This window comes from Homo sapiens, chromosome 3 (genome assembly GCF_000001405.40).
Source record: "Homo sapiens chromosome 3, GRCh38.p14 Primary Assembly".
NCBI lineage: Eukaryota > Metazoa > Chordata > Mammalia > Primates > Hominidae > Homo > Homo sapiens.
In genome coordinates, this window is record NC_000003.12 from 39,027,480 (window position 1) to 39,052,698 (window position 25,219).

A 25,219-nucleotide genomic window follows, 5' to 3' on the forward strand; every position below is an offset into this window, starting at 1 on the left:
TTGGAAGCTCAGCTCGAAAGTGTAGGTAAGAAAAGAAGGACCAGCATTGGCACTCAGCTGTGGGCAAATTTCTCAAGCAAATGAACTTTAGGAATAAACACTCGGCTTCTGAAAGTTTAGCCCCTTAAAACTATCACTGCCCCTATCCCTTAAAACATCTCACAAACCCGACTGGGGAGGCTGTTTACCCCACATTCACAGCTGCTATTTCAGATACTACCAAGGTTGAAGCAAGGATTTGAGAAGTAAGGAGGTAGGAGAGTTCTTCCTTAGCTGGTGGCTTCTCTGGAACTAGCAGATGATTAAAGCTGGCATTTTACCTTCTAGAGCTTTCTTGGGCACTTCTGGGAGCCCCAGCTCTGTGACCCAGCTTCAAGTCTCCTGAAGAGGTGACATATTCTGCTCCTTGGACTAGCTGCATCCCTCTCAGCCCTGGGTCATGGTGATGCACCCACACATTTTTCATAGTTGAAGACTTCTTTCTCACCTCCCAGGTGGTCCTCTTGAGTGGGACTTAATTCAGTTCAGCCTGGATTTTTCTCCCATCTCCCACACATCCATCTAGTCTACAGAAAACCCTCATCAAACCCCTACCCCCTCCCAAATAAAAAACTGTGGGAGTACAGTCTGTCAACTAGCACTCTTGTGGCTCTACCACCAAAACAACTAGTTGGCCCATCTCTAGCCCTCTAGATTTTGGAGGGTTACACCCCAGACCACCCATCTGGTCACTTACCAAGCTCTCAGATGCTCTCACTGAAGATCTACCTCATTATATTTCAGATCACAGCATACATCCCCTTGGCGGAGAAGGGATAGAGTTCATAGTACAGATTTTTTCCAAAGAAATAGTTTAACCCCTCTTCCCATGTTCTGACACTGTTAATATCCTTAAACCTGCTAGATGCTTATAACTAGTTCTCAGGGATATTTCATTTGTCAATTGGCACATAGGATCCGTCTTAAACCTATTTGAGATTTTATATTAATTATGTTTCTACTTCAGGTCAAACTGAGACAATAAACACTCATGCCATACCATTCTTTAACTGCTGTCTTGTCCTGTTTTCTGTTGTTATAACAGAATGCCTGGGACTGGGTAATTTATAAAGAAAGGAAGTTTATTTGGCTCACAGTTCTGGAGACTGAGAAGTGCAAGGGCATGATGACAGCTTCTGGCAAGAGCTTTGTACTGCATCATAACTTGGCAAATGGCATCACATGGCAAGAGAGCAAGAGTGTGCAAAAAAGACAAAACATGAGGGGTGGCCTTGTGTTATAACAATCTGCTCTCATGGTAACTAATCCAGTCCCGTTGGAGCAAGAACTCCCCATCGAGAACTAACCCAGTCCCATGAGAGCAGCATTAATGTCTTCATGAAGGCAAAGCCCTCATGACCCAAACACTTCATAAAGTTCCCACGACTTTTCAACATCATTACATTGGGAATCAAATTGCAACATGAGTTTTATAGGGGACAAGTCATATTCAAGCCATTAGTAACTGCCTATGCGTGGCAGTATCAGTAACTGTCTGGATGCATCTTTATGGATGTATCAACAATTCATTTAATCTGTCATGGTCATTTACTTCAATAATGCTTTAATAAATATCCCTTTACCTGTGTTTTTAAGTCAACTGTTAATATACCGGTAGGTAAATTTCTAGAAAAAGAGCTAAGTCACTCTCTGAAGGGGTTATACCAATTTACCCTCCCAATCTAAGTGTAAAAAAAGATGGTTTTTCCACATCCTCTGAACACAGTACCTTATTAAACTTTTAAACCTTTTCCAATGTAATAGGTAAAAAATTATATCTATATAAATATGTATTTTCTTGATTATAAATGAAGTTAAATATATTTTTATGCAATTTAAAACCACTTATTTTCTTTTACTATGAGATGCCTGTACATATCTTTTGCCCATTTTTTCCTATTGTGCTTTTGGTATTTTTCATATTAACTTGTAAACACTTCTTGTATTATTAGGGAAATTGGCTCACTGTCATGTGTGTTCCAAACAGATTTTCCCATAGTGGGAAAGGACATAGTGGGCAGGGGAACCCATGAAGAGATGGTTCAAGGCAAACGTAGTACAACTCAGGGCATTTAGAATGTAGCTACATTTGGAACAGCATCTCTCACATCTTCTCCTGTCTTCCAGATGTTACTGAGTTGTTACCTTCTCATTCATAGCAGTTCAGCAATGAAGATTTAATTGAAATGTAAGAAAAAGGGTCCATTGGACAGTCACCATGGCAACTGCCCCTCCCACAATATTTACCATTCAAAGGCTTCTGCAGGCATTCATGTACAACCAATTAGCAAAGAAAGATTCCAGATTCACAACCCTAATTTTGAATGCAGTTTGAAGGTGCTTAGAGACATAAAGAATGCCTGTGCTTTCTATAGGGAGATTACTAGGAAAAGAATTGTCTTCAGTTCCAGCTTCTGTGGCAAGATGATTTGTTCAGACATTAGAGTATATTTTGTTTTTAGTGTAATTTTTCTTCCATTTCCACCATCTGCTGAGGGTTGCCAGCCCACAGTGCTTGCTGGTCTCAAGAGTGGTTTATATTCCTGGGCATAAGGCAGAAACTGCTTAAAGATCATCTCTAGTCTTGCCCTTAGTGAAAGCTCAAGCTCACTGAAGAGTTTTAAACTATAAATCTAAGTGGGGAGGGGCATGGCGAGGAGAAGCCAATTCTCTTTGGAGGCAAGAGGAGGAGTGAGCGAAAGCAGGAGATGCTCTGCAAAGAGGGCAGACCTGTAACCACTGCTGAAAACATCTAGGTTGGTGACAGAACCTGGTCGTGATGGCTGGAGCTCTTCAGGAAGTGCAGCCCTAGGCACTGGGATTCCCGGTCCTAACAAAAAATCCCAGTCTCAACGGCAGAAAAGACCAGTGGCTCGCCCACTTCCACAGGACCATATTTCTGACACCCTAAGGCATCTCAGCCCTAACCACTATGGCCTGAGGATTGTTGGTGCTTCCAGGCATATAACCCCTGGGATACATGAGTGACTTTATGGTATATTAGAGTGTCAGAAGAATCTTAACAGTAACTGAAGTTACGTTTTCTATCATTTTAGCTGGCCAAGAGCTTGAAATTATTTTTATTTTTAATAATGCGACATCCAATTTGACACATCAGTTTGTGGATTAAAATTTACATCCAGCGCACGTTTTTAGACTAGTATTGTTAAGAAGCCTCAGCCAGTTCAGCTCCTAACAAAAATCCTACCACACACACACACAAAGCACATTTGTGACATGGTTTTTATATTGTTTTTATTTTGCCCACTTAGTACTTTACAAACACATTTTGCTTTATTTCTTTTAATGTATTTTCATGATCAATTATAGAACTTTTATGGGAGAAAATAGGTTTCCTGAAAAGATACTTTGGTTATGACTTTTCATCAGTAGGGATTAAGTGTTAAGTATTTTGAAGTCTGACTTGTCATATTCGCCAGTTAGTTCAAATCAAGGATGGCCTGGATGGTTCTCTACTGCCCTCCAGTGGGAAAGCTAGATGGAGGTCAAAGCATTTTTGAAATGGAAAATGGACTGGTTTATGTGTCTCTAATATTGGGACGTAAAATATATAGACAGAAGGAGATAAAAGAACTGAAGGATGTTTTCTTCTCAGTGTGTTCAGAAATAAGTGAACTGTTGAACAATGAACCATTCAGCACCATGACTTCTTACAACTTCAAAAGGATATTGTAAATACTGTATTTAAAACCGAGGTCTTGGCCAGGCACGGTGGCTCTCGCTTGCCTATAATCCCAACACTTTGGCGGGCCAAAGCAGGAGGATCACTTGAGGTCAGAAGTTGGAGACCAGCCTGGCCAACACGGTGAAACCCCATCTCTACTAAAAATACAAAAATTAGCTGGGTGTGGTGGCATGTGACTATAATCCCAGTTACTTGGGAGGCTGAGGCAGGAGAATAGCTTGAACCTGGGAGGTGGAGGTTGCAATGAGCCAAGATTGCACCAGTGCACTCCAGCCTGGGTGACAGAGTGAGATTCTGTCAAACAAAAAACAAACAAACAAAAAAAAAACAAACAAAGAAGGAAGGAAAAAGAAAAAGAAAGATAAAATGGAGGTCTTTCTGCCAGGACAAAAATAGTACACAACTTTGAACTTAAACATTTTAAGCATTCTGAGTCTCTATGTATACTTATATAATCTTGCTTTACTTCTGTATAATTATTTAATTATGATCTTCTAGTCTATTATATATCATAACACCCTTATTTCTTCAAAGAAGACTATTAAAGGGCTATGAAGAAATTATGCGGCTTCTTAGTTTCTCCGTGAATCTGATTAATATCCGTGATAGGCTTGCATTAAAAAGTTTATTTTGTTTACAGAAAAAGTTTGCCAAACCCTGCTAAGTCAGAATTCCCACCACATTTGCATCCTGCTTTAACCAACTGATAGATATATTTTACAGTGAAGGAAAAACTTAGAAAAAGTACATTTTACTAACATAAAAACAAACAAAAAAAAACCAAAAATGGTTATACAAAAGGAGTGGATTAATCTCTGAATACTGACTGATTCTTACGTGCTCATTTCCCCCTGTACTTCTAAATATACTTCTAGAACTGATGTGTTTAAAACAGATTGATGTCTGTGTCAGGAGCAGGGCAATAAAATAAACTCAGTTGCTCAAAAAATTAGTTTATTTAGCATTTCTGCATTATTTAAATGAGTCTTATTCTATTCTTTTAAAAATCTGTCTTTAAAATATCCAAATTAACATATTAATCACTAACAGACAGTGGTGGTTATAAATAAAGGCTCTAATTATGTTGCATTTTTAAATATATTTTCAAAATATATTAATTCCTCTTGAACAAACAAAAAATATGAAAACACTCACCGCTCCCCTCTGGTAAACAAGATGCCAACTCTAGGGTACGGTGGAAAGACATACTGGATACTTTCACTGTGTTCAGCAAATGGATTGAACATGGAGCCAAAAACATGCGAAGCACTGGGACAATCTGAAAACAACAACAACAACAAAAAAAACAAGCTTTATCATTTCACAAGACCTTTTCCAGGTTGTAAAAGCAAGAGAGGAGGCAAGAAAAACAGAAAATTTCAAACTGATTTGAAAATTTTTAAAAAGTGATAGAGCCTGTATTACATAAAACTTATGAGACAGTTGACTCTAGGAAATTATAACACTTTGCCAATGTTTCCTGGGCAAGCTGATTATTAAAAATAATACCTAAAATATATTGAATATTTCCTGCATACTAAGTGCTATGCTAAGATCATCTCATTTGAATTCAGAAGACCCATATGAAATGGGTACCATTTTTATTACCATTTTACAGATAAAGAAATTGAAGATGAGAGAAACTGGCCAGGCACAGTGGCTCATGCCTACAATCCCAACACTTTGGGAGGCCGAGGTGGGCAGATCACTTGAGGTCAGGAGTTCGAGACCAGCCTGGCCAACATGGCGAAACCCTGACTCTACTAAAAATACAAAAATTAGCCAAGCTATGGTGGCGGGCGCCCGTAATCCCAGCTACTGGGGAGGCTGAGGCAGGAGAATTGCTTGAACCTGGGAGGTGGAGGTTGCAGTGAGCTGAGATAGCGCCACTGCACTCCAGCCTGGGTAACAGAAGGAGGTTGCATCTTGAAAAAAAAAAAAAGAGAGAGAGAGAGAAAACTTAATTAACTTGCTCAGGTAATTGGCAGAAGAAAGATCAAACTTCAGAGGATGATTTAACAATAGCAAGTCTGGTTTGTTTGGAAGCAGAAGCCTTCTAAAACTCTTATTTACTTTTTATATTTACTTTTTATATTTACTACATTTTTGTTTATTAGACATGTGAGGTTTCTTTCCAGATGTTAAACTTTTTTCATGTACAATCTACATTTTATTGCACAAAAATGCTTAAAACAAAGATTCGAGACTCAAAGAGAACAGAACTACAATATACCTCAGAAGTACCTTGTGAGAAAAGCATTGTTATTACTATTTTACAGATTAGTTAAGACCTTGGGGGCTTGGAGAGATAATGTGAATTCTCAAAGGGCAAAGGCTGACCTAGGACTTGAACCACATCATGTGAATAACTTCAGGTGTGTAAGATTGACTTGAGAATATTCCTTAGGTCATGGCACATGGCTATCATTAGGCATTCACAGGGAATCTGAGAGATTATATGAACACATCACAGTACAGCTGGCCCTCAATATCCATGGGTTCCACATCTGTGGATTCAAGCAACTGCAAATAAAAAATATTTGAAAAAAACTCAAGAGTTTTTTTCTTGTTATTGCCTAAACAATATAGTAGAACTACTATTTACATAGCATTTACATTGTATTGGGTATAAGTAATCTAGAGATAATTAAAAGTATAGGATGGGCATGGTGGCTCACACTTGTAATCCCAGCACTTTGGGAGGCCAAGGTGGGCAGATCACAAGGTCAGGAGTTCGAGACCAGCCTGGCCAACATAATGAAACACCATTTCTACTAAAAATACAAAAATTAGCAGGCATGGTGGTGTGCATCTGTAATCCCAGCTACTCAGGAGGCTGAAGCAGGAGAATTGCTTGCACCCAGGAGGCGGAGGTTGCAGTGAGCCGAGATCGCACCACTGCATTCCAGCCTGGACAACAGAGTGAGACTCCATCTCAAAAACAAAACAAAACAAACAAAAAAACTATACAGGAGGCAACAAAATACCAGCAAATAGAATTCATCAGCACATTAAAAAGATCGTTCATTATGACCAAGTGGAATTCAGCCCAGAGATGCAAGGACGGTTCAACATATACAAATTAATTAAGGTGATACAACATATTAACAGAATAAAGGACAAAAATCATATGATCATTTCAATTGATGCTGAGAAAGCATTTGATAAAATCCAACATCCCTTCATGATAAAAAAAAATCCTCAAAGAACTGGACATAGAAGGAACATATCTCAACACAGTAAAAGCCATATACAACAGACCTATGTCAGTATCAGACTAAATGCAGAAGAACTGAAAGTCTTTCCTCGAAGATCTGGAACACAACAAAGATGTCCACTTTCATCACTGTTATTGAATATTTTAATAGTAGTCAGTGTCCTAGCTAGAGCAACCCAGTAAGAGAAATAAATAAAAGGCATACAAATTGGAAAGAAAGAAGTCAAATTATCTTTGTTTGCAGATATGATCTTACATTGGGAAAAACTTAAAGACTCTATCAAAAAACTATTAGAACTGATAAACAAATTCAGTAGAGTTGCAGGATATAAAAATCAACATAAAAAATCAGTAGCATTCCTGTATGTCAATAGTGAACAATCTGAAGGAAGGTAATTCTATTTACAATAACAACAAATCAAATAAAAACCAAGAATAAACTTAATCAAAAAAGTAAAAGATCTCTATAATGAAAACTATAAAATGTTGATAAAGGAAATTGAAGCAGACACACAAAAAATAGAAAGATATACCATGTTCATGGATTGGAAGAATTAATATTGTTAAAATGTCCATACCACCAAAAGCAATCTACAGACTCAATGCAATCCCTATGAAAATAACAATAACATTCTTCACAGAAATAAAAAAAAATCCTAAAATTTATACGGAACCATGAAAGGCCCAGAATAGCCAAAGCCATCCTAAGCAGAAAGAACAAAACTGAAGGAATCACATTACCTGACTTCAAATTATATTACAGAGCCATAGTAACAAAAACAGTATGGTACTGACACAAAAACAGACACACAGACCAAGGGAACAGAATAGAGAATCCAGAAATAAATCCATACATCTACAATGAACTCACTTTTGATAAAGGTGCCAAGTACATACACTGGGGAAAGGACAGTCTCTTCAGTAAATGGTGCTGGGAAAACTGGATATCCATATGCAAAAGAATGAAACTAGGCCCCTATCTCTTGCCGTATATAAAAATCAAATCAAAATGGATTAAGGACTTAAATCTAAGACCTCAAACTATGAAACAACTAAAGGAAAACATTGAGGAAACTCTCCAGGACATTAGTCTGGGCAAAATTTTTTCTTTTTTCTTTTTTTAGAGATGGGATCTCCCTATGTTGCTCTGGCTGAAGTGCAGTGGCTATTCACAGGTGTGATCCTGGTACTGATCAACATGGAAGGTTTTTTTTTTTAGATGGAGTCTCGCTCTGTTGCCCAGGCTGGCGTGCAGTGGCACAATCTCAGCTCACTGCAAGCTCCGCCTCCCGGGTTCATGCCATTCTCCTGCCTCAGCCTCCCGAGTAGCTGGGACTACAGGCACCCGCCACCACGCCTGGCTAATTTTTTGTATTTTTAGTAGAGACAGGGTTTCACCATGTTAGCCAGGATGGTCTCAATCTCCTGACCTTGTGATCCACCCGCCTTGGCCTTCCAAAGTGCTGGGATTACAGGCGTGAGCCACTGTGCCTGGCAACATTGAAGTTTTGACTTGCTACATTTCTGACTTGGGCTAGTCCAATCCTCCTTAGGCAACCAGGTGGTCTGGTCCCCTGCTCCTGGGAGGTCACCACATTGATGCCAAATTTAGTGCAGAAACTTGATTGGCATAGTGCGTTATAGCCCAGAACTCCTGGACTTAAGCAATCCTCCTGCGTCAGCTTTCTGCACTCAGCAGATTTCTTTTTATTTTTTTTTAGAGACAGAGTCTCACTCCGTAGCCCAGGCTGGAGTGCAATGGCACAATATCAGCTCACTGCAACCTCCGCCTCCCAGGTTCAAGAGATTCTCACGCCTCAGGCCTCCCAAGTAGCTGGGATTATAGCCATGCCCCACCACATCTGGCTAATTTATGTATTTTTAGTAGAGACGGGATTTTGCCATGTTGGCCAGGCTGATCTCAAACTCCTGGCCTCAAGTGATCTACCCGCCTCGGCCTCCTAAAGTGCTGAGATTACAGGCAAGAGCCACCACACCTGGCCAAGCAGATTTCTTGAGTAATATCCCAAAAGCACAGACAATCAAAGAAAATGGATAAGTGGGATCACGTCAAGCTAAAAAGCTTCTGCACAGCAAAGGAAATAATCAACAAAGTGAAGAGAGAATACATAGAACGGGAAAAAATATTTGCAAACTATCCATCTGACAAGTGGTTAATAACCAGAATATATAAGGAACACAAACAACTCTGTAAGAAAAAATCTAATAATCCAATTAAAAATGGGCAAAAGATCTGAATAGATATTTCTCAAAAGAAGACATACGAATGAAAAGGTGCCCAACATCACTGATCATCAAAGAAATGCAGATCAAAACTATATTATCTCACCCCAGTTAAAATGGCTTTTATCCAAAAGACAGGCAATAACAAATGCTAGTGGAGAAAAGGGAACCCTCATATACTGTTAGTGGGAATGTAAATTAGTACAGCCACTCTGGAGAACAGTATAGAAGTTCCCTCAAGAAACTGAAAATAGAACTACTATACGATCCAGCAATCCCACTGCTAGGTATATAGCCAAAAGAAAGGAAATCAGTATATTGAAGAGATATCTGCACTCTCATGTTTATTGCAGCTCTACTCATAATAGCCAAGATTTGGAATCAACCTAAGTGTTCATCAACAGACAAGTGGATAAAGAAAATGTGGCACGTGTATACGATAGAGTACTATTCAGCTACAAAAAGGAATGAGATCGTGTCATTTGCAACAACGTGGATGGAACTGGAGGACGTTATGTTAAGTGAAATAAGCCAGGCATAGAAAAACAAACTTTGCATGTTATTACTAATTTGTAGGAAGTAAAAATTAAAACAATTGAACTCATGGAGATAGAGTAAAATGATGGTTACTAAAAGCTGTGAAGGGTAGTGGTGGGGGTCAGGGAAGTGGGTATCATTAATGGGTACAAAAATATAGTTAGATAGAATGAATAAAACCTAGTATTTGATAGCACAAGAAGGTGACTACAGTCATTTATAATTTGTTGTATGTTTTAGAATAACTAAGGGAGTACAATTGGAATGTTTGTAACGCAAAGAAATATGAATGTTTCAGGTAATAGATACGCCATATACCCTGATGTGATTATTGCACATTGTATGCCTCTATCAAAGTATCTCATGTACCTCATAAATATATATACATCTACTATATACCTATAAAATTAAAAATAAAAAAAATTAAACTGTACAGGAGGATGTGCTTAGGTTATATGCAAACACTATCCCATTTTATATCAGAGACTAGAGTATACTTGGATTTTGGTATCAGAGGAGGTCCTGGAACAAATCCCCCATAGATATTGAGGGATGACTGTACTTATAATGGGGGATAGAAATGAGAATGGGAGCCGAAAATAAAGAAGGATGTTAAACCTTTCATATTATCTAGGAGTTTTGGCAGAAGTCTTAAAAGCTGAAAACAATGTAATAGGTGTCAAGGCTTCTTACATTTTGAATAACGAAACCAATCTTTTCATAAAGAAAATGCTAAAAAGATTGTTAAAGGAATTCTGCCAGGACAAGCCTCCTAGCAATTTTGTAAGAGAAGGCAAAGAATTAAATGGTAGATTGAAGAGGGTGATGGTAAGAATATCTTTGTGAGAGCTGTGAAGGCGCTGTGACATTTCCACTCCCCATGAGGAAGAGAAGGTGTATTAGTTATCTTTTGTTGCAATGCAAATTATCCCACAACTTAGCCACTTAAAACAATAATAAACATTTATTGTTTCACACAGTTTCTGTAGTTCAGGAATTCAGGAGCAGTTTAGGTGGTTGGTTGTAGCTCAGAGTTTCATGAGGTTGCAGTCAAGATGTTATCTGATTAGTCAAGCTGAGGTTACATGAACATACTTTAACTATAGAAGTGAGTAACTATCCTCATTTTCTATAGTGGGAGTATTGCTCACCACAACCAAGACACATACAGTGAGGAATTCCACACACATAGAAAGAGGGCTCAGATGATAAACAGCAGAAAATAAAACCACAAAAATGTCAAACACAAAGTCATCCCTTTGGTTGCCCAACACCAATATAACCATTGCTTCCAATGTTTACATTTCAAAAAAGTGTTGCCACTTAAAATATTGCAATTTTCCTTTATACAATCAAAGATGCACTCACACTGTCACTCTCCAAGGAAGTCAATCCAATGTGTCATCAGTTACCACATCCATCAACCCAATTCCAAGTCTAGAACCATCCATCACCAAGTCTAGTTGGTGGCCATTCTTCTTCAAGTTCTGTACTGATTTCGTATCCACATTCTGATACTTATGGACTAAATAATGAAGTTTACAACAGTATCACACCCTACATACAATAGTGAAGTATAAAGGCTAAAGAAAAGTGAAAACACATAAAAGAATACATGAAACATTAAAAAATACATAAACAAGATGACAACTCTCATTTCTTCCCCTGATCATAAGGCCTTCCCTCCATTTATGACTTCCTTTCTCTACTAGCGATTCCATGTTCCTTTTACTTTCAGCCAATACCTTCATTTCTAAGGGATCCAAGCATTTGGTAGATCTATCTGTTTAAAGATATACCAGCAGAACTATTTTTTTTGCTTGATGATAAGTTTAATAACATCAATCAATACCATAACCTTCTTCCTCTCTTTCACCTTCTTCTTCTCTTGCTTATCCAATGATAGATGACATGGAAAATGGTCAGATGGCAGTCTCAGCTCCAAATCAAAGAAATCATTGTTTAGCCCTTGCTGGAGGAACTCCTTTCTTTAGAAACAAACCTCTAAAACCACCGAAGCCCAGAATTTCAGAGAATGGAAGTCTAAAAAATTGTTTTAAGTGGGTCATTAGGTATAATATCCCTTTGTTTCTGAATCTATTTATTTTGCCTATGGCAGTGTGATGGTTTTAAAATACATCCACAAACACACAATGAACCCTCTCCTGCAGACTCCCTGGGACCTAAGCTGTCACGGCATGGTACCATTTTGGGAAAGAAGCCACTGCTGAAGTACATCCTGCCCCAGGATCCAATGGCCCTATGTCTCCAATATCCCTGGGGCCCTGCGGTCATTCCACCATGCCCATACAGAAGACTGAGTGCCAGTATCCCAGCCAGACCTAGCAGTAGAGCCATGACTCTAGCACTAAAGCCCACATAGCACTCTGTGCTCCAGGAAGCAGGTAGTCCAGCACAGTAAGGAGGTCACCCTCAGGAGTGAGGAAGCCAATGTGCCTGGCCAGCCACCTGGTACCCACCGCTGCCAGCAACCCTATCCCCTCCAGTGATGAGGCTGCCTTATGCATGGGCACCCCTAGAGACCAAAGATCAGCCCACCTAGAGGCTGTCACCACTGGAGACCCTGCCCCCTCCAGTGGCAGAGCTACCATGTACCTGAAACAGTTCCCAGGGACCAAGGACCTGCCCACTTAGCACCCACTGCTGCCAGCAACCCTGCCCCATCCAGTGATGGAGATATAGCATGTGTACATGTCCGCCAAGGGCTGAGGACTGGTCTACCTAGCACACACCACCTCTGCTAACCCCACCCCCTCTAGAGGTAGAGACATCACGTGCTGTGTTCCTCAGGGCTGGTGCCCACCTGGTGCCCACCACAGCTGGCAATGGCATCCTATAATCAGTAAAGCTGTTGTTCCAGGCAAGCACCCTCCCATAATCCAAGAACTGGCCACCAATGGACACTTACCACCAGCAAAACTACACTATAGCCTCCATAAATGTCAACAGTCTATGCCACTGTGGCACTCAAATACTGCTCATGCTGTTAAAAATCACACAGAGACTACATAACTGTTATTGCTTCTCAGCCTTTTGTCTAAGATCGAGTGTGGAGATTATACTACTGCACCCACTCAGAACCAAAGCCAAAGCACCTTATGCAATCAACACTACAGGTCACAACTACAGGAAAAAAGTCTTTCCCAATGAAAGCTACTCCATGAAATTGGAAGAGGTGACTATTTTACCAGATGCACAGAAATCAACATAGGAACACAAGAAACATAAGAAAACAAGGAAACACGACACTGCCAAAGGAACACAATAATTCTCCAGTAACACATTCCCCAAAATGAAAGCTATCAGATGCCTAAAAAGGAATTGAAACTAATGAGCCTAAGGAACCTCAGCAAGATACAGGATAAATACAGACATACAAATGAAATCAGGAAAACATTAATGCTCTGAATGAGAAATTCAACAAAGAAACATATATTATTTTTTTAAAAGAACCAAACAGAAATCTTGAAGCTAAAAGATTCTGCTAATGAAATAAAAAATACAATAGAGAGCTTCAATAACAGACTAGATCAAGAAGAAAATAATTTCTGAAGGCCGGGCATGGTGGCTCACGCCTGTAATCCCAGCACTTTGGGAGGCCGAGGTGGGCGGATCATGAGGTCAGGAGATCGAGACCATCCTGACTAACACGGTGAAACCCCATCTCTACTAAAAATACAAAAAAAAAATTAGCCAGGCATGGTGGCGGGTGCCTGTAGTCCCAGCTACTCGGGAGGCTGAGGCAGGAGAATGGTGTGAACCCGGGAGGAGAAGCTTGCAGTGAGCTGAGATAGCGCCACTGCACTCCGGCCTGGGCGAAAGAGCAAGACTCTGTCTCAAAAAAGAAAAACAAAAGGAAAATAATTTCTGAACTTGGAGACAGGTCTTTTGAAATAACCCAGTCAGACTAAAAAAAGAAAAAAGAATTCAAAAAGAATAAAGAAAGCCTACAGTACTTACAGGACATCATTAAGCAAACAAATATTCACATTCTGAATGTTTAAGAAGGAAATGAGATGAAAAAGGAATAGAAAACCTATTTGATGAAATAATCACTGAAACCCTTCTAAGACTTTGGAGACATATGGACATTGACATCCAGGAAGCTAAAAAATCTTCAAATATAGTCAACCCAAAAAAGTCCTCTCTGAAGCACATTATAATCAAATTGTCAAAAGTCAAAGACAAAGAGAGAATTTTTAAAACAGCAAGAAAAAAATGTCAAGTCACATATATGAAAATCCCCATTAGACTAACAGCATTTTTCTCAGCAGAAACCTTACAGGCCGGGAGAGAATGGGATGATATATTCAAAGTGCTGTAAGAAAAAAACTGCCAAGCAAGAATATCAAACCCAATAAAACTGCCCTTCAGAAATGAGGAAGAAATAAAATTTTCCCCAAACTAAAACTGAGGAAATTCATCACCCTAGACCATCCTTACAAGAAATACTTAAGGGAGTCCTACATCTGGAAGCAAAAGGATGATAACCACCATCATGAAAACACAAAAGTACAAAACTAACTGATTGAAAAGATACACAAATGAGAAAGAAAAATAAACTTTATCACTGCAAAGATAAATTAGAGAAAGAAAAGAACAAAGAATTTCAAAACAACTAGAAAACAATTAACAATATGACAGAAAAAATATCATATTTCAATAATAACCTTGAATGTAAATGGATTAAATTTCCCAATTAAACAATATAGACTGGCTGAATGGATTAAAAAAACAAGACCCAGGCCGGCACAGTGGCTCATGCCTGTAATCCCAGCACTTTGGGAGGCTGAGGCAGGAGGATCACTTAAAGTCAGGAGTTTGAGACAAGCCTGGCCAACATGGTGAAACCCTGTCCCCACCAAAAATATAAAAATTATCTGGGCGTGGTGGTAGGCGCCTGTAGTCCCAGGTACTCAGGAGGCCAAGGCAGGAATATCGCTTGAACCCAGCAGGTAGAGGCTGCAGTGAGCCAAGATTGTGCCACTGCACTCCAGCCTGAGAGACAGAGCAAGACTCCATCTCCAAAAAAACCCAAACAAACCAAGAGCCTATTCTGCCTATAAGAAACTCACTTCACTTGTAAAGACACACATAGACTGAAAGTGAAAAAATATAAAAAAGAAATCCCAATGAAATTTCTACAAGAAAAACATTGGGAAAACACTCCAGGACATTAATCTGGGCAAAAATTTCTTGAGTAATACCTCACAAGCACAAGCAACCAAAGCAAAAATGAACAAATGGGATCACATCAAGATTCCGCACAGCAAAGGAAAAAATCATCAAGGTGAAGAGACAACACACAGAATGGGAGAAAATATTAGCAAACTATCCACCTAATAAGAAGTTAATAACCAGAACATATAAGGAGCTTAAACACTTCTATAGGGAAAAAAAATCTAATAATCTGATCAAGAAATGAGCAAAAGGTCCAGGTGCAGTGGCTCACGCCTGTAATCCCAGCACTTTGGGAGGCCGAGACAGGAGGATCACCTGAAGTCAGGAGTTCGACACCAGCCTGGCCAACATGGAGAAACCCTGTCTCTACTAAAAATACAAAATTATTCAGGCTTGGTGGCGCATACCTGTAATCCCAACTACTCGGGAGGCTGAGGCAGGAGAATCACTTGAACCCAGAAGGCAGAGTTCGCAGTGAGCCGAGATCATGCCATTGCACTCTAGCCTGGGCAACAAGAGCGAAACTCCATCTCAAAAAAAAAAAAAAAAAAAAAAGAAAAAGAAAAAAGAAATGAGCAAAAGATCTGACTAGACATTTCTCAAAACAAGACGTACAAATGGCAAACAGGCATGTGAAAAAGTGCTCAACATCATTAATTATCAGAGAAATGCAAATCAAAACTACAATGAGATATTATCTCACCCCAGTTAAAATGGCTTTTATCCAAAAGTCAGACAATAACAAATGTTGGCGAGGATGTGGAGAAAGGAGAACCCTCGTATACTGTTGGTAAGAAGGCACATTTGTACAACCATTATGAAGAATCATTTAGCAGTCTCAAAAAACTAAAAATAGGGCTACCATACGATCCAGCAATCCCATTGCTGGGTATACACCCAAAAGAAATGAAATCAGTATATCAAAGAGACATTTGCACTCCCATGTTTGTTGCAGCGCTGTTCACAATAGCCAAGATTTGGAAGCAACCTAAGTGTCCATCAACAGATGAATGGATAAAGAAAATGTGATACTTATACACAATGAAGTACTATACAGCCAAAAAAAAAAAAAAAAACCCAGAATCCTGTCATTTGCAACAACATAGGTGGAACTGGAGGTCATTATATTAAGCGAAATAAGCCAGGCACAGAAAGCAAACATCACATGTTCCCACTTATTTGTGGGATCTAAAAATCAAAGCAACTGAACTCATGGATACAGAGAATAGAAGAATGGTTACCAGAAACTGGGAAGGGTAGTTGGGGGTGGGTGGTGGGGAGGTGGAGATGGCTGATGAGTACAAAAAAAATTAGAAAGAATAAATAAGACAGTATTTCATAGCACAACAGGGGGACTACAGTCAATAATACTTTAATTGTACATTTAAAAATAATTTAAAAAGTATAATTACATTGCTTGTAATAAAAAGGATAAATGCAAAAAAAGAAGGATAAATGCTTGAGGAGATGGATACCCAATTTTCCATGATGTGATTACCATGCATTGCCTGCCTGTCCCAAAAGATCTCATATATCCCATAAATGAATACACCTACTATGTACCCACGAAAGTTAAAGATAAAAATAATTTTTTAAATGCCAAATGTAAACGCAAACAGAAACCAAAAACAAGCAAGAGTTTTTTACTTTAAGTCAAAGACTGTAAAAAGAGAAAAAGAATGTCATTATATAATAATAAAGGGATCAATTCAGTAAAAGGGTGTAACAATTTTAAATATATATACACCCAGATATATAAAGCAAATATCATTAGATCTAAAGGGAAGACAGACTCCAATACAATTAAGTTGGGGATTTCAATACCTTTGACCAGATAATGTAGACAGAAAATCAACCAAGAAACATCAGATTTAAACGGCAATATAGACCAAATGGACCTAACAGACATTTACAGAACATTTTTTCTAACAGCTGCAGAATACACATTCTTTTCATCAGCTTATAGAACATCCTCCAAGATAGACCATATGTTAGCCCTCAAAACAAGTCTCAACACATTTTTTAAAATCAAAACCATATCAAGTATCTTTTCTGACTACAATGAAATAAAACTAGAAATCAATAATAACAGAAACTTCGAAACTGTGCAAATACATATAAATTAAATAACATGCTCCTGAATGATAAATATGTCAATGAAGAAATTAAGAAGGACATTTAAAAATTAATTGAAACAAATGAAAACAGAAACACAACATACCAAAACCAATGGGACACATCAAAAGCATTACTAAGAGGAATGTTTATAACAATAAATGCCTACATCAAAAAAAGCAGAAAGATTACAAATAAACAAACTAATGATGCACGTCAAGGAACTACAAAAACAAGAACCAACGAAACTCAAAATTAGCATAAGGAAAGAAATAATAAAGATTAGAGCAGAAATAATGAAATCGAGACAAAAAATACAAATCAACAAAACAAAAAGTTTTTTGAAAAGATAATATCCACAAACCACTAGCTAGAGTAATTTTAAAAAAAGAGAGCAACAACCCAAATAAATAAAATCAGAAATGAAAAAAAACAACTGTTACCACAGGAATACAAAAGATCATTAGAGACTATTATGAACAACTATATGCCAACAAGATGAAAAGCCTAGAGGAAATGAATTCCTGGACACACGCAACCTACCAAAATTGGATCGGGAAGAAATAGAAAACCTGAACAAATCAATAACAAGTAATGAGATTGTGGGAGAAATAAAAAGTCTCCCAACAAAGAAAAGCCTAGGACCATGGCTTCAATGCTGAGTTGCACCAGGCATTTAAATAACTAACACCAATTCCTCTCAAATTATTCCAAAAAATTGAAGGGGAGGGAATTCTTCCAAACTCATTCTACAACCCCAACACTACCCTAATGCCAAAACCAGGCAAAAACACAACAAAAAAAGAAAGCTACAGGTCAATATCCCTGATGAACATAGATATAAAAATTCTCAACAAAATATTAGCAAACCAGATCCAACAACACATCAAAAGGATTACACATGATGATCAAGTAGATTTATTTCAGGGATGCAAGGATGATTCAACATATGCAAATCAATAAACAAAAGATACATCACATCAGCAGAATCAAGGACAAAAACCAAACGATCATCTTAATCAATGCAGAAAAGGCATTCGATAAAATTCAACATCCTTTCATGATAAAAACTCTCAACAAAGGAAGTATAAAAAGAACATACCTCAACACAATAAAGGCCATATATGACAAACCCACAGCTAGTATCATCTTAAACAGGAGAAAATTGAAAACTCTTCCTCTAAAAACTGGAACAAGACAAAGATACCCACTTTCACCACTCTTATTCAACATAGTATGGAGAATGCTAGCTAGAGCATTTAGGCAAGATTAAAGAATAAAGGGCATCTAAGCTGGAAAGGAAGTGTCAAATTGTCACTGTTTGCAGATGATATGATCTTATATATAGAAAACTTAAAGACTTCATCAAAAAATTCTCAGAACTGATAAAGAAATTCATAAAGTTGTAGGATATAAAATCAATATACAAAACAGTAGCGGCCAGGCACAGTGTCTCACTCCTGTAATCCCAACACTTTGGGGGGCCTAAGCAGGAGGAACACTTGAGGCCAAGAGTTCAAGATCAGCCTGGCCAACAGGGCAAAACCCTGTCTGTACTAAAAATACAAAAATTAGCTGGGCGTGGTGGCACGGGCCTGTAATCTCAGCTACTCAGGAAGCTGGGGCATGAGAATCACTTGAATCTGGGAGGTGGAGGTTGCAGTGAGCCGAGATCAGGCCACTGCACTCCAGCCTGGGCAACAGAGTGAGACTCTGTCTCAAAAAGAAAGGACAGAAGCAAGGAAGGAAGGAAGGGAGGGAGGAAGGGAGGGAGGGAGGGAGGGAGGGAATGAAGGAAATTATAAAACTCTGATGAAATAAATTGAAGAGGACATACACAAAAATGGAAAGACATCCATGTTCATATACTGAATTAATATTGTTAAAATGACCAAACTACCCAAAGTGATCTACAGATTAAATGGAATCCCTATCAAAATACCAATGACATTCTTCATAGAAATAGAAAAAATAATCCTAAAATTCATATGGAACTACAAACGACCCCAAATAGCCAAAGCAATCCTGAGCAAAAAGAACAAAATTGGAGGCATCACACTAACCTCAAAATATACCATACAAAGCTACACTAAACAAAACAGCATAGTACTGGCATTAAAAAAGACACATCAACCAATGGAACAGAATAGAGAACCCAGAAATAAATCCATGTATTTATAGCCAACTAATGGTTTTTTTGAAACAGGGTCTTGCTCTGTCACCCAGACTGAAGTGCAATGATGTGATCTCTGCTCACTGCAGCCTCAACCTCCTAGGCTCAAGCAATCCTCCCACTTTAGCCTCTTGAGTAGCTAGGACTACAGGCATGCACCACCATGCCCGGTTAATTTTTGTATTTTTTGATAAAGACTGGTTTTGCCACGTTGCCCTGTTTGGTCTTGAATTCCTGGGCTCAAGCGATCCACACACCTCAGCCTCCCAGAGTGCTGGGATTATAGGTGTGAGCCATTGCACACAGCCCCCCACCCCCCACCCCCACCCCCATCCCCCCACCCCCACCCCCACCCCCTTTTTTTTTTTTAAGACTGGGTCTTGCTATGTTTCCCAGGCTGGAGTGCAGTGACTATTCACAATTGTAGTATACTGCAGGCCTCAAACTCCTGGGCTTAAGCAATCCTCATATATCAGCCTTCCAAGTAGCTGGGACTACAGGCATGTACCACCATGCCTGGCAATTAACTGATTTTTAACAAAGGCCCTATAACATATTGGGAAAAGAACAGCCTGTTCAATAAATGGTGCTGGGAAAACTGACCCCCTATATGAAAAGGAAAGAAACTAGACTCCCTACGTCTCACCCTATACAAAAATCAACACGAAATGGATTAAAAACCTAAATATAAAACCCAAAACTATGAAACTACTAAAAGATAATACAGGAGAAATGCTTCAGGACATTGGCCTGGGCAAAGATTTTATGGATAAGCCCTCAAAAGCACAGGCAACAAAACCAAATATAGACAAATTGGATTACATCAAACTAAAAAGCTTCTGCACAGAAAAGGAAACAATCAATAGAGGAATGAGACAGCCTACAGAATGAGAGAAAATATTTGCAAAGTATTCATCCAACAAGGAATTAATATCCAGGAAGTATAAAAAACTCAAACAACTCAATAGCAAAAAAAACCCAAATAATTTTTAAATGGGCAAATGATCTGAATACACATTTTTCAAAAGAAGACATATAAATAGCCAACAAATACATGAAAAAAATGCTCAACATCACTAATCATCAGGGAAATACAAATCAAAACCACAGTGAGATATTATCTCACTCCAGTTAGAATCGCTATACGAAAAAGACAAAAACAAATGCAGAGGGTGAGGATGCAGAGAAAAGGGAATTCATACACTGTTGATAGGAATGTAAATTAGTTCAACCATTATGGAAAACAGTGTGTAGATTTCTCAAAGAACTAAAACTACAACTACCATATGATCCAGCAATCCCACTACTACCCAAAGAACAGGAAATCAGTATGTCAAAGAGATACCTGTCCTCCCACAGTTACTGCAGCACTATTCACAGTGGCCAAGATACGGAGTTAACCTAAGTGTCCATCAAAAGAAGAATGGATAAAGAAAATGTGGTACATATATGCAATGAAATACTATTCAATCATAAAAAAGAATAAAATTATGTCATTTGCAGCAACATGGATAGCACCGGAGGTCATTATCTTAAGTGAAATAAGCCAGGCACAGAAAGATAAATACTGCATGTTCTCACCAATATGTGAAAGAGAAATAAGTTGATCTCAGAGAAGTAGAGAACAGAATAGTGGTAACTAGTGGCTGAGAAGGGTAAAGGAGAGGATTATATATAGAGAGGTTGGTTAACACATATAAAATTACAGCTAGGTAGAAGGAATAATTTTTGGTGTTCTATATCACTGTAGGATGACTATGATTAACAATAATTTATTCCATATTTTCAAATAGCTAAAAGAGTGGATATTGAATTTTCCCAAAGCAATTATTACAGATTGTATACAGGTATCAAAATATCACACTGTACCCCATATATATGTACAATTATTATGTGTCAATTAAAAAATACATCCACAAATTTATTGATACTTCATAAAAAAAGGAGTCATCTAATCCCCTCTCCTTAGACACTGATGGCCTTAGTAACTAAGTTCTAATGAATTGACTATGGCTTAAAGTGACACTGCATGACTTCCACTGTGAGTTTAGAAAAAGCATTATAGCTTTCAACCAGATTTTTCTTCTTCGGGATGCTCATCCTTGGAACCCAGTTAGCATATTGTGAGGAACCAAATAGTGCTGTGGAAAGATCATGAGAAGGTGTTCTAGCCACAGCTTTGGCTAAGGACTAGGCCAACACCAGTATCAGTCACCAGACATGTGAGAGAAGGGGTCTTCAGATGATTCCAGCCCCAATCTTTTAGCTGCCCCAGCTGATGTGAAGTGGATAGTGGAACAGAGACAATCTGTTCCCATGAAGCTCTGCATAAATTACAGATTTGTAAGTAAAGTAAGGGTTGTAATTGTTTTAAACCATTGCATTTTGCAGATGGTTAAACAGCAATAGATAAAAGGAACAGGAAAAAAGAGTGCTGAATATTGGACAGTAGTTCAGAGCATATACTGCATCCTACAGGACAGTATCAAAAAGGGTTATCTCCCAGAAGGCACCATAGCTAAGTCTTCAATATATCTTCAATAAGACAAGATACTTCTCAGTGATTGAGTACACAATTAGACCAATAAATTCCATGGGCAATAGCCCATTGCATTACTTCTTTCATTGCAGAGTGAATTTCTTGGTCAAAAGCAATATAGTGTTAGAGAAAATGATAGTGTCTAAAGCACTGAGTAATTCCCTAGATGGTGGTGTCAGCGGAAGTACAGTGAGCAGGGAAAGCAAATCTCAATCTAGAATAAACATATTTTAGAGAGGACAAATAAGAACTCCCTCAATGATGGGGAGGGCCAATGACCAATGGAATAGACTTGCCTACATGTGACTGGCTGACCCTCCCAGAGCATGGGGTATTGGTCACTGCTTCTGAACACCCAGCGGTGGCTTGGTGATCCCATGCATAGCTCCAATCCTGTTGCCATTGCCATTGCCATTTATTTCATGATTCTACTGAGCAGGCAGTGAGGCTGAGTTTCATCACAAAGCAGTTCATTTCATCCATATGATTCTTAAGATTTATTCTGAGAGGTCCATCACTATATCCCTTCTGGAGTCTTCCTTGTCACTAGTTCTCCAGTCTTGCTCTTTCCATGTCCTTCACAAACTGGCCAAAAAATTATCCTCTGACCCTGAATTGACCATTTCTCCTTTCAGCCAAACTGAACATCAAAACATACTGGTGAAAATTCTGCCCACTGAAAGAACTTCACTATTTCAATATTTTTCAGGTCCAAAGCAGGACTACAACATATCAATTTCTAGCAAGTACCAGTATATTGTCCAGAGCAACATACCTGTATTGTATTTTGCACATCATAGGTGCTCAATAGACACTTAAGCAATTTTTAAAATACAGACATATTATTTCCCTACCTGTATTTCAACAGCTTCCCATTGGTCTAAAAGATCCTGCTGGGTATGGCCTCTGCATACTCCTTTCACTTCTCTGTACTCTAAGCCTTGACTCTCAGTTCCTGTAATGTTCCATGCTCTCTCCTGCTACAAGACCTTTGCTCAGACTGTTCCCTCTCCTTGCCTAGTTAACTCTTGACTCAAGATACTTCCTGTCTTACAATCATCTTTCTTCATAGTACTTATCTCTGTATTAATTCCTGTCTCATCCTGGGACTCTAAGTTCTATGACTATGTGCACTCACCACTGATTCCCCAACACCTAATATAGTGCCTGGCATATATGATATGCTAAATAATATTTTGTTAAATGAATGAATACATGAATCAGTGAATGAATAAGCCTGTAATGATGCAGTAATTTACCTATAAGTTATCACTGCCAGTTTTGCTTAAGAAGCTTTCTGCCATCACAATTTTTACTCATCTAATTCACATTTCTTTATTAATTTAAGAAGTATTTGTCAAGACAACTTTTCTAAGCATTACTTATATACTAGCACTATGCAACAGAAATTTGTGACCACATATGTAATTTTAAATATTCTAATATCCATGACAAAATTAATAAATTTTATTTAGCCTAATATACCCCCAAACATCATTTCAACATGAAATCAATACAAAAAATTATTAATGAGATATTTTACATTCTTTTCTTCAAACTAGTCTTTGAAATTTGGGGGTAGTTTACAATTACATATCTCAACTGGAACTAGCTATATTTCAAGTGCTCAAGAGCCACAAATGACTAGCAGATACATCATATGCTATATCCCACAGTGTAGTTCTATAGGATTCACTTTCACTAGAGAGGGTCTGATCACCCTCAGCTCTTATAATTAGTGGTCAGGAAAACCACCTTAAGTCAAACCTAACTGTTCCAGTATAAGAGATGATTTAAACTAGAATTGTCTCTGGGAACAATTTTAGCTGGTGTACCGTTTTCGCCTTCCTATAACATCTTTTTGTCTTGTTTTTTTTTTTTAAACTTTTAAGTTCAGGGGTACAAGTGCAGGTTTGTTATATAGGTAAACTTGTGTCACGGGTGTTTGTTGTACAGGCTATTTTGTCACCCAGGTATTAAGCCTAGTACCCATTAGTTATTTTTCCTGATCCTCGCCCTCCTCCCACCCTCCACCCTCCGAAAGGCCCCAGTGTGTGTTGTCCCCCTCTTTTGTGTCCATGTGTTCTCATCATTTAGCTCCCACTTATAAGTGAGAACGTGCGGTATTTGGTTTTCTGTTCCTTTGTTAGTTTGCTTAAGGATAAGGGCCTCCAGCTCCATCATGTCCCTACAAAGGACATGATCTCGTTCTTTTATGGCCCCACTTTTTATCCTTTTAATTTAAACGGATTCTTTGCTCCCCCTGAAGATGGAGGCCACCTCCTTTGCAAGGACTTCTATCTCTCCCCCTTTGAGGCCACGACATAATTCTCCGCATTTTTAGGTACTTAACAGTAAATCACTTGGTTCACTTGGTTCTCCTGCCTGCCTAGGAAAGGTCAGGAGATGGTCCAGCGCCATGTCTAGCACTGTTAATTCTTTCAGTGCTTTCGTTTTGCTTGGGCCTCTCGGGGAGGGCGCGGAAAAGAGCGCAAGCCAGGGTCTAGGACCACACAAGTGAATTCGTGTTGCTCCCTCAGCCCTGAAAAGTGGCTCTCTCCCCATCAGCATTATACTTGCACAGTGGTTTTGTTTTTAGGTGCATCTACCTCATCACATGGCTACCGGCCACACAGCAACTAACAGCACCGAGGAAACACAACAGCCTGTTTACCTTCAGCCCCGCCACTAACCCTTGGCCAAAGGGAAAGGGGCAGGACATCCTCCCGCTCTGAGCCACCTCCGGAAGTGACGTCGGAGTGTCAACATGCAAGATGGCGGCCCATCACCGGCAGAACACAGCAGGGCGGAGGAAAGTGCAGGTATGGAAGCCCGGTTCCTCGGTCTTCCGGACGCGGCCGGCAGCTCCGGGCCCACTCCAGCTAGAAGGTGCCCGGCGCCACGACCAGCTGGGGTAGCGGCATGGGGCGAACGGGGCGGGGCGCGGCCGGCCACGAGGGGTGGGGCCGCGGCGCTAACGGCTTGAGGAAGGGGCGGGGGTCGGCTTGCTTGGCCCTTGGGGCCCAGGCCCGGGACCCTCGTGGGCGGCATTCTGAGCCCGGGATTGCTTGTCGCCGCTCTTCTGTAGGAGTGGACTTGCGGGGTCGGGATAGGCTCGTTCCCCGCCCACTTGCCTCCCCCTTGCCCTGTCTTTCTTCGAAGCGCTCTGCCCTCGCTGCGTCGGAGCCGAGGCCTCCAGGGGTTTCCCAGGGGGGTGGGCGTTGGAGGAGTGAGCGGCTTGTGCGGGGGCGTGGCGAGGCGGCGGAGCGCCAACGGCCCTGCGGGGTTTCTGCTGAGGATTCCGCACTTGGGAGCCCCCAGCCCTCTCTTATGTGGGAGCTGTCCCCTGGGTAGGTTTAAGTGACATAAGAATGTGCGTGGGGAAATTATAATTTTAATTGTTTTGGTATTTAAGTTCCTCTTCACCATTTCTTCATCTTAAGTGTG

At 39.5% G+C, this 25,219-nt stretch overlaps 2 protein-coding genes across 14 annotated transcripts in view, besides 6 other annotated features; one reads left to right on the forward strand and one right to left on the reverse strand.

Moving 5' to 3' along the window:
* Positions 1-24,465, reverse strand: part of SCN11A (sodium voltage-gated channel alpha subunit 11) — a 206,181-nt gene extending 181,716 nt beyond the window's left edge. For all 3 annotated transcript variants that reach the window (NR_164473.1, NM_001349253.2, XM_047447378.1), the window contains exons 1-2: positions 24,382-24,465; positions 4,901-5,024 (exon numbers count right to left, since the gene is read on the reverse strand). The gene's annotated coding sequence lies outside the window, so the exon portion shown is untranslated. The remainder of the gene's footprint in view (positions 1-4,900; positions 5,025-24,381) is intronic.
* Positions 23,698-24,570: an enhancer, noted in NCBI's record as "H3K27ac hESC enhancer chr3:39092668-39093540 (GRCh37/hg19 assembly coordinates)". NCBI's record gives its function as "activates a minimal SCP1, AML or CMV promoter by ChIP-STARR-seq in naive H9 embryonic stem cells {active_cell/tissue: H9 hESC(naive)}" and the evidence as "EXISTENCE:reporter gene assay evidence [ECO:0000049][PMID:30033119]".
* Positions 23,698-24,600: a biological region, named in NCBI's record as "H3K27ac hESC enhancer GRCh37_chr3:39092668-39093540".
* Positions 24,241-24,330: an enhancer, noted in NCBI's record as "active region_19687". NCBI's record gives its function as "activates an Ori minimal core promoter by ATAC-STARR-seq in GM12878 lymphoblastoid cells {active_cell/tissue: GM12878}" and the evidence as "EXISTENCE:reporter gene assay evidence [ECO:0000049][PMID:35858748]".
* Positions 24,341-24,390: an enhancer, noted in NCBI's record as "active region_19688". NCBI's record gives its function as "activates an Ori minimal core promoter by ATAC-STARR-seq in GM12878 lymphoblastoid cells {active_cell/tissue: GM12878}" and the evidence as "EXISTENCE:reporter gene assay evidence [ECO:0000049][PMID:35858748]".
* Positions 24,411-24,600: an enhancer, noted in NCBI's record as "active region_19689". NCBI's record gives its function as "activates an Ori minimal core promoter by ATAC-STARR-seq in GM12878 lymphoblastoid cells {active_cell/tissue: GM12878}" and the evidence as "EXISTENCE:reporter gene assay evidence [ECO:0000049][PMID:35858748]".
* WDR48 (WD repeat domain 48) overlaps positions 24,537-25,219 on the forward strand; it is a 44,649-nt gene continuing 43,966 nt past the window's right edge. For 10 of the 11 annotated variants that reach the window (NR_144401.2, NR_144400.2, NR_144399.2 and 7 more), the window contains exon 1: positions 24,537-24,594. Coding sequence is in view for 4 of the 11 variants with exons in the window: in NM_001346225.2 (NP_001333154.1) it covers positions 24,547-24,594 (48 nt within the window). In the remaining 7 variants the exon portion in view is untranslated. Of the gene's footprint in view, positions 24,595-24,812; positions 25,123-25,219 lie in introns of those variants that run through there. The other variant, NM_001346228.2, reaches the window with a different exon arrangement.
* Positions 24,641-24,740: a silencer, noted in NCBI's record as "silent region_14216". NCBI's record gives its function as "represses an Ori minimal core promoter by ATAC-STARR-seq in GM12878 lymphoblastoid cells {active_cell/tissue: GM12878}" and the evidence as "EXISTENCE:reporter gene assay evidence [ECO:0000049][PMID:35858748]".